Below are 15,108 nucleotides of genomic sequence, written 5' to 3'. Positions count from 1 at the left end.
ATATGCCCTTGAGTGTATCCACTGGTGCAAGGCTTTTTCACCAAGCAAACAGACATTGAGTGCCTGCTGTATCCCAGGCACATGCTAGGTGCTGGGGGTGCAGCTGTGAACACACACCATGGTCCCTGACCTCCATGAATATTCTAGCCGAATTGGTGGGGAGTAAACAATAAACAGATAATCACAGAGACAGATACATAATGGCAAACTGTGATAAGTGCATGAAGCAAGCTGCTGGAGTACATAGCAGGGGCTTCCTTGTGCCAGGCAGGGGCTTGAAAACAAAGAGTTAGGAGGCAGCCCAGGGAAGGACAGCAGATGCTGCTTTTTGGAAATGTTCGTCCCCACTGAACCAACTTCTGAAAAACTATCCTAAGAAAATCGTCTTAGCCAGGTGTGGTGGCTCATGCCTGTAATCCCAGCACTTTGGGTGGCCAAGGCAGGAGGATCACCTGGGTTCACGAGTTCGAAACCAGCCTGGCCAACATGGCGAAACCCTATCTCTACTGAAAATACAAAAATTAGCCAGGTGTGGTGGTGGGCACCTGTAATCCCAGCTACTCAGGAGATTGAGGCAGGAGAATCACTTGAACCGAGGAGGCAGAGGTTTCAGTGAGCTGAGATCGTGCCACTGCACTCCAGCCTGGGTGACAGGGCGAGACTCCACCTGAAAAAGAGAAAAGAAAATCAAGAGTTAAGGGCATTCATTATGGCCTTATTTACAATAGCAGAATTTCAGTGTCCAGTCCTAGCTGAATGATGAGTTCAATAATGGTTCATCTATCAATGGAATGTTTTCAGCTATTAAAATGATGGCTTTGGCTACTGAATAGGTCTGCTAAAAAAAAAAAAAAAAAAGACTTCTACCTAGCTGTCTAGTTGGACACTGTGGCATGTGCCTGTAGTCCCAGCTACTCTGGAGCTGGGGTGGGAGGATCGCTTGAGGCCAGGAGTTCAAGGCTGCAGTGAGCTATGATTGTGTCACTGCACTCCAGCCTGGGTGACAAAACAAGACCATCGCTAAATAAATAAATTAACTTAAAAGATGGCTATGTAAAGTTGTAAGAATGATGTAACAGCATGGGGTAATACATATCTTATAATTTTTAAAAAAATTTTATTTGTGGAGACAGGGTCTCACTGTGTCACCCAGGCTGGAGTGCAGTGGCACAATCGTGGCTCACTGCAGCCTCAGCCTGCAGGGTTCAAGCGATCTTCCTGCCTCAGACCCCTCACTAGCTGGGACTACAGGCACACACCACCATGCCTGGTTACTTGTTTTTGTAGAGATGGGGTCTCATGATGTTGCCCAGGCTGGTCCCAAACTCCTGGGCTCAAGCGCTTGCCTCGGCCTCCCAAAATGCTGGGATTACAGGCATGCATCACTGTTCCTGTCTGTATCATATAATTTTAAATAATAAAAGCAGCCTCTACAACTAGGCAGCATGGTCTTAAGTCTATTTTTTAAACATAGAAAAAGAGCCAGGAAGGAAATGTAAACAATGTTAATAATGACTTTGATAGGGAGGTGGGTGGGATATGAAAGATTTTTTTTCTCCCTTTTGTCCTTGGAAGGAAATATCACTTTTCAGCAGTAGTTCTCTGTTGGGATGGTTCTAAAGTGGGGAAGATGAGACTTTTTCCTTTCACTTTGTACCTTTTCTGGTGCTCTGATTTAGAGCTCCTCAGTCTTGCCACTGTTGATATTTTGGGGTGACTAATTCTGTTGTGGGGGCTGTCCTGTGCACTGTAGGGTGTTTAGCAGTATCCCTGGCCTCTACCCACTGGATGCCAGAGGCACCCCCCACCCCAGCTGTGACAATCAGCAGTGTCTCCAGACAATATCCCCTAGTGGGGATCGGTGGGGGCAACATTGTCCCTGGCTCGGAACCACTGATCGAATTTATTATGACAACATATCCCTTTGCCACAAAAACAAATGATGGGCTAACCGTGTGTGTGCAGGTGAAGCCACTGCTGCAGGTGACACGGCAGGAGGAGGAGATGCAGGCCAAGGAGGATGAACTGCAGAAGACCAAGGAGCGGCAGCAGAAGGCAGAGAATGAGCTTAAGGAGCTGGAACAGAAGCACTCGCAGGTACCTGTATGGATGCATGGCTGGGGTTGCTGGGGAACAGGACTTGGCCCCGTGGGGCTCACCCGCCTCCTCCCCACCACCTGCGTGCAGCTGACCGAGGAGAAGAACCTGCTACAGGAACAGCTGCAGGCAGAGACAGAGCTGTATGCAGAGGCTGAGGAGATGCGGGTGCGGCTGGCGGCCAAGAAGCAGGAGCTGGAGGAGATACTGCATGAGATGGAGGCCCGCCTGGAGGAGGAGGAAGACAGGGGCCAGCAGCTACAGGCTGAAAGGAAGAAGATGGCCCAGCAGATGCTGGTAAGGTGTCACAGGGGCAGCCCGTGGTGGGTAGCAAATCACTTGACCCTCACCACAGGCCTGTGGAGGTGCATCCAGGGATATGTGTCCCTGCTGGGACAGATGATGAGACGGGGGCTTGGAGAGGGTTGGTCATCTGATCAAGGCCACACAGCTGGGATTGGGACTGGAACACAGTGAGCCCACTCTGTTCTATTGCCCTGCCTTGCATGTGCTAACCCCTTTTCTCCTAACAGCAAGCCTGAATGGAGGATAATTGTATTTGTTAGCTATTGCTACATAACAAAACATGCCAAACTCAGCAGCTAAAAATAAAAAGTATTGCATAGTCAGGAATTTGAGAGTGGCTTAGGTGAGTGGTTCTGGCTGAGGGTCCGGCCTGAGGTTGCAGTCAAGGTGTTGGCTGAGGCTGCAGTCATCTGAAGGCTCATCTGGGGCTGGAGGACCCACTTCTACTTGGCTTATTCACACAGCTGTTGGAGGAGGCCTCAGTTCCTTATCATGAAGGCCTCTCCCCTCAGGGCTGCTTGAGTGTCCTTCCAATATGGCAGCAGAGTTCCCCCAGAAGGAGTGATCTGAGAGAGGAGAAAGGAAGCCGCAATGCCTTTTATAGCCTAATCTCTGAAGTTACATTCCATCACTTCTTCCTGATTTTTGTTGTTGTTGTTAGAAGCAAATCTAACCCCCACTCAAGGGGAGGAGAATTAGGCTCCACCTTTTTGGAGTCGCAAAGAACTTGTGGATAGATTTTAAAACCACCATGGTACCTACTGTGCTCATTTTATAGATGAGGAGGTTGAGGTTCCATGAAGCAGAGCAGCTTACCCAGGTCTTTATTTTTTTTTTTTTTTTGAGACAGAGTCTCACTCTCTTGCCTAGGCTGGGGTGCGATGGTGCGATCTCAGCTCACTGCAACCTCTGCCTCTCGGGTTCAAGCGATTCTCCTGCCTCAGCCTCCCGAGTAGCTGGGATTACAGGAGCCCACCACCATGCCTGGCTAATTTTTTTTGTATTTTTAGTAGAGACGGGGTTTCACCATGTTGGCCAGGCTGGTCTTGAATTCCTGACCTCAAGTGATCCACCCACCTCGGCCTCCAAAAGTGCTGGGATTACAGGTGTGAGCCACCACGCTCAGGCCTTTATTTCTTCCTTTTAGGAGGCTACAGAGTTCTGGGCATCTTCAGGCCTAGCCCCTGTATTCATTAGTCCCCAGATCACCACGAGAGTAAATCTGTTATAACCAAAGCTGTTACTCTTTTCCCTCCACAACAAAGGACCTTGAAGAACAGCTGGAGGAGGAGGAAGCTGCCAGGCAGAAGCTGCAACTTGAGAAGGTCACGGCTGAGGCCAAGATCAAGAAACTGGAGGATGAGATCCTGGTCATGGATGATCAGAACAATAAACTATCAAAAGTGAGTAGGGGCCGGGTGCAGTGGCTCACGCCTATAATCCGAGCACTTTGGGAGGCCAAGGTATGTGGATCACTTGAGGCCAGGAGTTTGAGACTAGCCTGGCCAACAGGGTAAAACTCCATCTCTACTAAAAATACAAAGATTAGCCAGGTGTGGTGGCCAGTGTCTGTAATCCCAGCCACTTGGGAGGCTGAGGCAGGAGAATCACTTGAACCTGGGAGGTAGAGGTTGCAGTGAGCTGAGATCGTGCCACTGCACTGCAGCCTGGGTGACAGAGTGACTCTGTTTCAAAAAAAAAAAAAAGTGGAATCAAGTTTCTGCATTAAAAACAACAGGCTTACCAGGATCAGGGAGATTTTGGGGATTTGGGACTTTCAGTTCTCAAAGCAGAAAAGCCCTTAGAAAACCAGGACAAGCTGGTCACCGTAGTCAGTAGTCACTAACCAGCCCCACCTGCTTTTAGTTCTTTGAGCTGGATGTCAGCTTGGCCCCTACTGTGAGCCAGGCTCTGTGTTAGATGCAGGTATGCATGGTGAAGGAGGACCCTTCCCTTGTGGGGTTTATACTGTAGTGAGATGGCAAATAATCGTCATTTACCATGGTGATCAGGGCTCTGAAGGAAACGTTCACCATATTTTAAGAGTGCGGCAGGCCGGGTGCGGTGGCTCATGCCTGCAATCCCAGCACTTTGGGAGGCTGAGGCAAGTGGATTACCTGAGGTCAGGAGTTGGAGACCAGCCTGGCCAACACGGTAAAACCCCATCTCTACTAAAAATACAAAAAATTAGTTGGGTGTGTTGGCGGGCGCCTGTAGTCCCAGCTACTCGGGAGGCTGAGGCAGGAGAATCACTTGAACGTGGGAGGCAGAGGTTGCAGTGAGCTGAGATAGCAACACTGCACTCCACCCTGGGCGACAGAGTGAGACTCTGTCTCAAAAAAAAAAAAAGAATACAGCAGTGGGGGATAGAGGAAGGGTATTCATAGAAGACTTCCTGGAGGAGGTGACATTTAAGCAGAAACTTAAAGATGAAGGAGCAGTTAGAGGGGAGTAGAAGAGCATCTCAGCTGGTTGGCCCACTGTGCAAAGGCCCTGGGGCAGGGAAGAGCTGGCCAGTGGCAGGAATGGAAGGAGGGTACCTTTAGCTGACCATACAATATGAGGGACAAACTGGCACGAGATGAGAAATGGCCAGTTTTTGGAAATTGTTATGGGACTTCTCTTTACCATTTAAAACTCTAGTTGTATTTTGTTATAATGTGGGTTTTTCTTTCAACTGTTTACATGGAAATCACTAAAAGTGAAACATAGATTCTAGAGAAAAGAAAAATCCTAAAGCTATCTCTTTCTCTTTCCCCAAAAAGGAACGAAAACTCCTTGAGGAGAGGATTAGTGACTTAACGACAAATCTTGCAGAAGAGGAAGAAAAGGCCAAGAATCTTACCAAGCTGAAAAACAAGCATGAATCTATGATTTCAGAACTGGAAGGTAAACCAGCTACCAAGAGATTTATTTTTATTTTATTTTATTATTTTTTTTAGAGATGAGGTCTTGCTCTGTTGCCCAGGCTGCAGTGCAGTGGTGCGATCATGGCTCACTGCAGCCCGAAACTCCTAAGCTCCAGTGATCCTCCTGCCTCAGCCTCCTGAGCAGCTGAGACTACAGGCGTGCATCACCACACCCAGCTAATTTTTTTTTATTTTTTATTTTGTAGAGATGGGGTTTCACTATGATGCTCAGTCTAGTCTCAAACTCCTGGGCCCAAGCAGTCCTCCCACCTTGGCCTCCCAAAGTGCTGGGATTATAGGCATGAGCCACTATTCCTGGGCTTGAATGGGTATTTTTAAAAGCAGGAAAATCAGAAAGGAAATTTGAGGATGGCAGATCATCCCATGAGTGACAACTAACTCTATGCCACCTCTCGAAATCACCCTTAGTCATCACATGCACTAATAATATGATAAAAGGGCTGGGTGCGGTGGCTCTCGCCTGTAATCCCAGCACTTTGGGAGGCCGAGGTGGGCGGATCACGAGGTCAAGAGTTGGAGACCAGCCTGGCCAACATGGTGAAACCCTGTCTCAAAATACAAAAATTAGCCAGGCGTGGTGGCGGGCGCCTGTAATCCCAGCTACTCGGGAGGCTGAGGCAGGAGAATTGCTTGAACCCGGGAGGCGGAGGTTGCAGTGAGCTGAGATTGCGCCACTGCACTCCAGCCTGGGCAACAAGAGCAAAACTCCATCTCAACTAATAATAATATTATGACAATATAAGGTGCTGTTCATCGGGAGATAATGGTCCAGACCGTGACTATGATGGTTACTGATTGGGGGATGTGTTCATCTCCTCCGGGTAAAATGCCTGGGCAGGAAGGCTCATTTCCGGGCATCTCTCTGGGGCCTCCCCTTCCTGAAGAGCACCTTGGTTTTTGCAGTGCGGCTAAAGAAGGAAGAGAAGAGCCGACAGGAGCTGGAGAAGCTGAAACGGAAGCTGGAGGGTGATGCCAGCGACTTCCACGAGCAGATCGCTGACCTCCAGGCGCAGATCGCAGAGCTCAAGATGCAGCTGGCCAAGAAGGAGGAGGAGCTGCAGGCGGCCCTGGCCAGGTAGCGGGGCTGGCAAGGGGCATTTGCTGTGTGTCCATGTATCCCCTGGGCCCCTGCTCATTCGCTCATTCGCAGTGGCTGTCTTGGTCAAGGCGGCCCCAGGCCCTTGGCATGAACTTCGTTTCCCAGGCCAGGCCTCCCACAAGCCTTCTCGACCCTGTTCACTCCCCCAGATCCTCACCTTCGACTTTCTTCTCTTCCCTGCAAACACATCATGTCTTTGCAGTTGATCTCACCTACTCCCATGGTGTTGCTGCTGCCTCTTCGACATCCAGGCTTTTCTCATCTAGACCCCCTTCTGAATTTCCGATTGCCCAATGAGTCAATTTCCACCGTCATCTCAAACACCCCTGTCTAAGGCGGGAATGACCTTCCTTTCCCCAGCCCCTCCCTCTAAGGGCCCTCTTTTTTGTGAACACCAATCTCCTCCTTTGTTTCTGCCGACCCACAGCAAGCAGCAACCTTCAGATTCTGCCAGTCCTTCTAAATGTCCCCCACCCATTTCCTCTGGTTTTTCCCTCTTCCTGGCTCTTAGCTGGATTTACACTAATGCTAATACTGCAGCAGCCACTATGAATGATTATTTACCTGCTCACTCGGTGCTAAGTTCTTTTCAAGCAATACCTTTGCAGACACCTGGCCAGGTGTACTGCCGGTGTCTTTGAGGAGGAAGCTGAGCCTCCTAGGGGTAACGCAACAGGAGCAATGTCATTGCTTCTAAGAGGCAGAGCTGGGATTTAAGCCTCAAAGCTTTCTGATTGATCCCCTGGCCTGGCTCTTTTGTCGGCCAATTTGTGCTATGTTGACAGTGCTACGGTGATGAAGGGAAAGCATCTCTCTGGGGCAGGAACCTGCTCACAAAACTTTGCTGGCTGGATGCAGTGGCTCACGCCTGTAATCTCAGCACTTTGGGAAGCCGAGGTGGGGGGATTGCTTGAGGCCAGCAGTTTGAGACCAACATGGGCAACATAGCAAGACCCTGTCCCTACAAAAAGTTAAAAAATGAGCCAGGCATGGTGGTGTGTGCCTGTAGTCCCAGCTACTCAGGAGGCTGAGATGGGAGGATCACTTGAGCCCAGGAGGTTGAGGCTAAAGTGAGCTATGATCATGCCACTGCACTCCAGCCTGGGCAACAGAGCAAGACCCTGTCTCAAAACAATAATAACAACAAAACAAAAACCTAACTTCACTGGCTTACTAGGGAAAATCCAGTTTCCTTAGCCTCACCCTCAGAGCCCATCCACCCTCTGCAGTCTCACCCCAACCCAACTATTTCACTTTCTCTCTTGTTGCTGCCCTTTCACAAGTACAGTAAAATCAAAGTGCTTGCCTCTCCTGCAGCATTCTGCCATTTAACAGGGCTTCTTGCAGCCCACCTTGATCTCTGGTCACCACCTCCACCAGATGCAGAGCCCCAGTCTGAATATCCCCCGCAAGCAGTGGCTGGCCAAATGCTGTGCATGGGGCGGGTACTCAGTCACTGAGCAAATGCAGAAAGAACAGACAGTTGCCAGGGAAGAAGAACTGTCCAACATTCAGAAAGCATCTACACAGTCCCTACTGTGACCAGGTACCTTGCCAGTCTGGGGTCAATGCTTTGCATTCTTGCACACACATGCACACACGTGCATACACACGTACACACACCCATGCACATGTACAACCTGTTTTGATGTCAGACCTTGGCACTCACATCCTATGTTAATCTCATATAGTCTGGCATGTCAAGAAGCAGACCTGGGGACATGGATAGAAGGTGTTTGATGTCTCTGCAACATAACTGTCTGGTCCCAGAAAAGTTTTTGGCCACATTGTAAGAGAGGAAACCAAGGGACCTGGGGGTTCATTCTGCTGGGTCTCTCCCTGGAAGGCTTGACGATGAAATCGCTCAGAAGAACAATGCCCTGAAGAAGATCCGGGAGCTGGAGGGCCACATCTCAGACCTCCAGGAGGACCTGGACTCAGAGCGGGCCGCCAGGAACAAGGCTGAAAAGCAGAAGCGAGACCTCGGCGAGGAGCTGGAGGCCCTAAAGACAGAGCTGGAAGACACACTGGACAGCACAGCCACTCAGCAGGAGCTCAGGTGAGGGGCCCATCAATCCCACCATCCTGCTATCCCACTGCACCAATGGGATGGGGGCAGAAGAGGGGACAAACCCAAAGCAAATCGTGCATCAGCCCCTGTGCATTTACCTTCCTGGCCGCGGTTTGCTTTAACTTATAGAAGCATGGTTGGCTGTTTCTTTTTTTTCTTTCTTTTTTTTTTTTTTTTGAGGCAGTCTGGCTTTGTTGCCTAGGCTGGAGTGCAGTTGTGCCATCTTGGCTCACTGCAACCTCCACCTCTGAGATTTAAGCGATTCTCATGCCTCAGCCTCCTGAGTAGCTGGGATTACAGGTATGTGCCACCACACCCGGCTAATTTTTTGTTTTTAGTAGAGATGGAGTTTTGCCATGTTGCCCAGGCTGGACTTGAACTCCTGGCCTCAAGTGATCCACCCACTTCCGCCTCCCAAACTGCTGGTATTACATGTGTGAGCCACTGCACCCGACCCTCATCATCTTATTTCTCATCAGAAGAGTAGTATATACCAGGGATGTACAATCTTTTGGCTTCCCTTGGCCACATTGGAAGAAAAAGATTTGTCTTGGGCCACACATAAGATACACTAACACTAATAATAGCTGATCAACTAAAAAAATTTTACAAATTGGAAAAAACATCTCATACTGTTTTAAGAAAGTTTATGACTCTGTGTCAGGCTGCATTCAAAACCATCCTCATTGGTAAGCTTGGATATACTCAGAGAACAATTTGAAAACTATAGAAAAGCAGACATAAAAAAAAATCACCTTTAGGGTCGGGCTCACGCCTATAATCTCAGCACTTTGGGAGGCCAAAGACAGGTGGATCACTTGAGGTCAGGAGTTCAAGACCAGCCTGGCCAACATGGTGAAACCCTGTCTCTACTATAAATCCAAAAATTACCTGGGCGTGGTGGCGCATGCCTGTAAATCCCAGCTACTCAGGAGGCTGAGGCAGTAGAGTCACTTGAATCTGGGAGGCAGAGGTTGCAGTGAGCTGAGATCGCACCATCGCACTCCAGCCTGGGTGACACAGTGAGTGAGACTCCATCTCAAAAAAAAACAAAAAACAAAAAAATCACCCTTAGTCACACCAGTTAACATTCTTGAGAAATTCCTTCCTGTCTGTGTGTGTATCAGTCAGTCCCCAAGCTCCAATTCCCAAGTATGTGTGTGTATCACTTTTGTGTTAAATTTTAAAAATAAAATTGATCAGATTGGTTTTCAATTGAAGATTCACTTCAAATGAACAAACAATAACAAACTGCCTGCCAGATCACGAATCCTGACTCTAGTGAAACTAGGTCATTGATTCATTCAGTAAACACATAAATGTATTTTGATGCAATCTGTGGTGTTGGCATAGCATGTATCATAGCATATAGCTATGCTAGCTGTGCCAACACCATATACCCTGGGGTTTACTTCCCCCACTTTGGGTTTTGTGCAGTGTCACATGCACATAGAGCACAGCGTTCTGCTCCCTTGCCGCTTGGCCTTTGATACAGAAGAGCCCAGTGCATGGGCCAGGTATGGTGGCTCATGCCTGTAATCCCAGCACTTTGGGAGGCTGAAGCAGACAGATCACCTGAGGTCAGGAGTTCGAGACCAGCCTGGCCAACATCATGAAAACCTGTCTCTACTAAAAAGACAAAAATTAGCCGGGCGTGGTGGTGGGCGTCGGTAATCCCAGCTACTTGGGAGACTGAGGCAGGAGAATCCCTTGAACCTGGGAGGCAGAGGTTGCAGTGAGCTGACATCATTCCACTGTACTCCAGTCTGGACGACGGAGCAAGACTCGATAAGAAAAACAAACAAACAAAACAAAAAACCAGGCTGAGTGCGGTGGCTCACACCTGTAATCCCAGCACTTTGGGAGGCTGAGGCGGGTGGATCACCTGAGGTCAGGAGTTCGAAACCAGCCTGACCAACATGTTGAAACCCCATCTCTACTAAAAATATAAAATTAGCCGGGCGTGGTGGTGGGCACCTGTAATCCCAGCTACTTAGGAGGCCGAGGCAGGAGAATCGCTTGAACCCGGGAGGTGGAGGTTGCAGGGGGCCAAGATTGCGCTGTCGCACTCCAGCCTGGGCAACAGGAGTGAAACTCCATCTCAAAAACAAACAAACAAAACCATGGACTCAAGGTCAAGGTTTAGCTTCTAATTCTGGCTCCATCACACAATGGCTGTGACACCATGGGTAAAACTGCTTACCCTCTCTTAGCCTTAGTTTCCTCATTTGTAAAATGGAAATAATAACACACCTGCCTCTTTGGGTTGCTCTGAGGATTAGATGATGTATATAAAAAACTTAGCTCAGGGCCTGGCATATAGTAACTGCTCATTAAATAAGAGCCAACATTAATATTTAAGCAAAATTTTGCAGTTCACAGACATCCTTTCAATTCTATTACTTTGTGTATTTGTTTGCCAGTCATTACAGATGTCCTAGGCAGGTGATATGCTCCACATTTTGCAGCTGAGGAAATTTTAGGTCCAGAGATGTTAGGTGAATGACCCAAGGTCACACAGCTAGAGAGGGGTGGTGATGAGGACTGCAGCTCTGGGTCCTGGAAGAGCTCTCATTCTTTTGCACGGCACTGAGATGACCCTCTGTCTCCACCCAACTGCCATTCACTGTGTTCCTCCCACCAAGGGCCAAGAGGGAGCAGGAGGTGACGGTGCTGAAGAAGGCCCTGGATGAAGAGACGCGGTCCCATGAGGCTCAGGTCCAGGAGATGAGGCAGAAACACGCACAGGCGGTGGAGGAGCTCACAGAGCAGCTTGAGCAGTTCAAGAGGGTAATGCTTTTTGGTGATGCTTTTTGGTGATGACACATAAGAGTGACATCAGCAGCCTCAAATTACTACAGGTCAGGGTCTGCATAAAGACAAAAAACAAGTTACATAAGATTCTAATGATGATGATAGCAGCTTATATTTATTTACAAAATGCTTCCCATACAGGCTGGGTGAGGTGGCTCACGCCTGTAATCCCAGTACTTGGGGAGGCTGAGGCGGGAGGATCGCTTGAGCTCAGGAGTTGGAGACCAGCCTGGGCAACATAGTGAGACCTTGTTTCTACTAAAATTTTAAAAAAGTAGGCCAGGCGTGGTGGCTCAAGCCTGTAATCCCAGCACTTTGGGAGGCCAAACTGGGTGGATCACCTGAGGTCAGGAGTTCGAGACCAGCCTGGCCAACATGGCGAAACCCTATCTCTACTACAAATACAAAAAATTAGCCGGGCGCGGTGGTGCATGCCTGTAATCCCAGCTACTCGGGAGGCTGAGGCAGGAGAATCACTTGAACCCAGGAGGCAGAGGTTGCAGTGAGCAGAGATCATGCCATTGCACTCCAGCCTGAGCAACAGAGCAGGATTCCATCTCAAAAAAATAAAATAAAATAAAATATTGGCCAGGCCTGGTAGTGCATTCCTGTGGTCCCAGCTATTTGGGAGGCTGAGGTGGGAGGATCGTTTGAGCCTGGGAGGTTGAGGCTGCAGTGAGCCCTGTCATGCCACTGCACTCTAGCCTGGACGACACAGTGAGACCTTAATCAAACAATAAAAATAGGCTGGGCACGGTGGCTCACCATGTCTGTAATCCCAGCAATTTGGGAGGCAAGGCGGGCAAATCACTTGAGCTCAGGAGTTCGAGACCAGCCTGGCCAACATGGTGAAACCCCATCTCTACCAAAAATATAAAGAATTAGCTGGGTGTGGTGGCATGTGCCTGTAATCTTAGCTACTCGGGAGGCTGAGGCAGGACAATCACTTGGACCCAGGAGGAAGAGGTTGCAGTGAGCTCAGATCGTGCTACTGCACTCCAGTCTGGGCGACAGAGTGAGCCGCCATCTCAAAAAAAGAAAAAAAAAAAAGAATGAATAGAAATGCTTCTCATACAGTATGTCAATTAATCTTCACAACCACCCTGTGAGACGTGTACTATTAAACTCATTTTACAAGCAAAGAAACTGAGGTCCTAGGTGCCTAGAGGTGAAGAGACTTACCCAAGGTCACACTGCTGGTAAGTGACAGAGCCATGATTTGCACCCAAACAGTCTGGTCCTAGACCCCACTTTCTGGCCTCTACAGGACTGAAGGCCTATAGGATGGGTGGGGCCTATCAATATACTGCCCTTCAGGGATAAGCAAAGGTGTAACAACACTTTCGGGGAGATTTAAATGAAACTTAAAACTGGGATCATTCTATCCACTTTAATTTCTCTGCAGACTGGAGGAAGGCCAGGCATGGCGGCTCATGCCTCCCGTAATCCTAACACTTTGGGAGGCCAAGGAGGGAGGATTGCTTGAGCCCAGGACTTTCAGATCGCCTGGGCAACATAGCGATTTTTCTTTTGTAAAAAAAAAAAAGACTGGAGGAAACTTGTCATTATTTGATTTCAATGGCAGAACAGCTCTCTCCGGCATAATTTGAGAATGACTAGGTCAAATCACTCTCCCGTTGTTGGAACTCTTTGCGGTGTATGGGAGTGGGAGCTGGTAAATAGCAGTACCGAATGCTGAATCTTGGGTGCTCTTCTCTCCTTTGGGGTAGTGCCTGTGCTTCATTCCCCAGGGTAAGTTTTTTAGCTTGCGACCTTCGGCCAGATTGTTTTCCTGAAAGCCTGAGTTACATTACCCTCAGCGTTGCAGCTCCTCCACATCCCCTTCAGTGGAAGCTTTTGGTTCTGCTAGATTAAGTGGGTGCAGCATTGCCTAAAAATTTTGGGGAATTTGCATTTGGTTCTATCACTAGTGTATTGGTCCGTTGTTGCACTGCTCTACAGAAATACCCAAGATTGGATTATTTGTTTATTTTTTGAGCAGTGGAGTCTTACTCTGTCACTCAGGCTGGAGTTCAGTGGCGTGATCTTGGCTCACTGCAACCTCCACCTCCTGGGTTCAAATGATTCTCCTGCCTCAGCCTCCCAAGTAGCTGGGACTACAGGCACACACCACCATGCCCGGCTAATTTTTTTTTTTTTTTTTTTTTTTAGTAGAGATGGGGTTTTGCCATGTTGGCCAGGCTGATCTCGAACTCCTGACCTCAGGTGATCCACCTGCCTTGGCCTCCCAAAGTGCTGAGATGACAGGTGTGAGCCACTGCACCACCCTGAGATTGGGTAATTTCTAAAGAAGAGAGGTTTAATTGGCTCACGGTTCTGCAGGCTGTACAGAAAGCATAGCAGCTTCTGCTTCTGGGGAGGCCTCAGGAAACTTACCATCATGGTGGAAGGCAACGGGGAGGCAGGCATGTTTTACATGACCAGAGCAGGCAGAAGAGAGAGAATGGGGAGCTGCCAGACACTTTTAAACAACCAGATCTCATGAGGGCAGCACCAAAGGGATAGTGCTAAACCATTAGAAACTGCCCCCAAAGGCCGGGCGCGGTGGCTCATGCTTATAATCCCAGCACTTTGGGAGGCTGAGATAGGCGGATCACCAAGTCAGGAGTTCAAGACTAGCCTGACCAACATAGTGAAACCCCATCTCTACTAAAAATACATAAAATTAGGCTGGGTGCAGTGGCTCACGCCTGTAATCCCAGCACTTTGGGAGCCCGAGGCAGGCAGATCACCTGAGGTCAGGAGTTTGAGACCAGTCTGGCCAACATGGCAAAACCCCGTCTCTACTAAAAATACAAAAATTAGCTGGACGTGGTGGCGGTCGCCTGTAATCCCAGCTACTTGGGAGGCTGAGACATGAAAATCACTTGAACCCAGGAGGTAAAGGTTGCAGTGAGCCAAGATTGTGCCACTGCACCCCAGCCTGGGCAACAGAGTGAGACTCAGTTTCAAAAAAAAAAAAAAAAAATTATGGTTGGAAGAGTGAGGCCCCAGACAGAATCACTGACCCTCCCCATGCTTGGGGTTCATTAGACGTGAACAGGAGCTAGAAGCCAAGCCCATTCCCAGCCAGGCCTCTTTGGGAAGACGCAGTTATTAAGACCACCAGCAGACGGCATGTCCATTACTGACCCGCACAAAGCAGGTAGAGGTGCAAACCTCTGCCCATCTCAGGTGCAGGGAAACAGAGGCCTTTGCCTCTAACAACTTGAATTCTGATGTAGAGACCTGGTTCCATCTGCTTGTGGGGGAAACGTTTAACATCAGCTCCTACCTGGGCTCCCCAGGCCCTCGTGCGGTTTGGCCCCAGTTCTGGGGTCTTAGGCTGGGCTAAGGTTTCTGGGAGCCCATGTCCCCTAGGGTCCCCGCTTCACTGCTTTGTTACCACCAAGAGACTCCCTGTCCCCATCTGAGGTCTGGCAGCTCTTAGTCATGTCTTGGAGGGAGGACGGGCATCCAGGGCTGACCGGTCAACGTCCAGCACCTCCCAGGGACTATGGGAAGACTGAGTGGTGGGTCTCGTCCTCTCGGGATACTTGCGCTTCTCTTTCCCCTTCTCTACAACCTGGAAAGAAGCCCCTCACCGCGTCCTACTTTTGCCCAACACGCTTTTTTTTTTGAGACAAAGTCTCACTCTGTCGCCCAGGCTGGAGTGCACTGGCGGGATCTCGGCTCACTGCAACCCCCGCCTCCTGGGTTCAGGCAATTCTCCTGCTTCAGCCTCCTCAGCAGCTGGGATTACAGGTGACTGCCACCATGCCCGGCTAATT

The 15,108-nt window shown here is 49.2% G+C and overlaps 1 protein-coding gene across 4 annotated transcripts in view, besides 1 other annotated feature; it reads left to right on the top strand.

Annotated features, from left to right (window-relative positions):
• Window positions 1-15,108, top strand: part of MYH11 (myosin heavy chain 11) — a 153,894-nt gene that overhangs the window by 113,172 nt on the left and 25,614 nt on the right. For all 4 annotated transcript variants that reach the window (NM_002474.3, NM_022844.3, NM_001040114.2 and 1 more), the window contains 7 exons: window positions 1,966-2,097; window positions 2,188-2,394; window positions 3,669-3,806; window positions 5,169-5,292; window positions 6,237-6,408; window positions 8,279-8,491; window positions 11,149-11,293. In NM_002474.3, coding sequence (NP_002465.1) covers window positions 1,966-2,097; window positions 2,188-2,394; window positions 3,669-3,806; window positions 5,169-5,292; window positions 6,237-6,408; window positions 8,279-8,491; window positions 11,149-11,293 — 1,131 coding nt within the window. The remainder of the gene's footprint in view (window positions 1-1,965; window positions 2,098-2,187; window positions 2,395-3,668; window positions 3,807-5,168; window positions 5,293-6,236; window positions 6,409-8,278; window positions 8,492-11,148; window positions 11,294-15,108) is intronic.
• Window positions 6,679-7,435: an enhancer, noted in NCBI's record as "OCT4-NANOG-H3K27ac-H3K4me1 hESC enhancer chr16:15830279-15831035 (GRCh37/hg19 assembly coordinates)". NCBI's record gives its function as "activates a minimal SCP1, AML or CMV promoter by ChIP-STARR-seq in naive H9 embryonic stem cells {active_cell/tissue: H9 hESC(naive)}" and the evidence as "EXISTENCE:reporter gene assay evidence [ECO:0000049][PMID:30033119]".

Source organism: Homo sapiens, chromosome 16 (assembly GCF_000001405.40).
Source record: "Homo sapiens chromosome 16, GRCh38.p14 Primary Assembly".
NCBI classification, from domain to species: Eukaryota; Metazoa; Chordata; class Mammalia; order Primates; family Hominidae; genus Homo; species Homo sapiens.
Note: the sequence above shows the minus strand (reverse complement) of the source record. Positions and strands in the feature narration are given on the sequence as shown.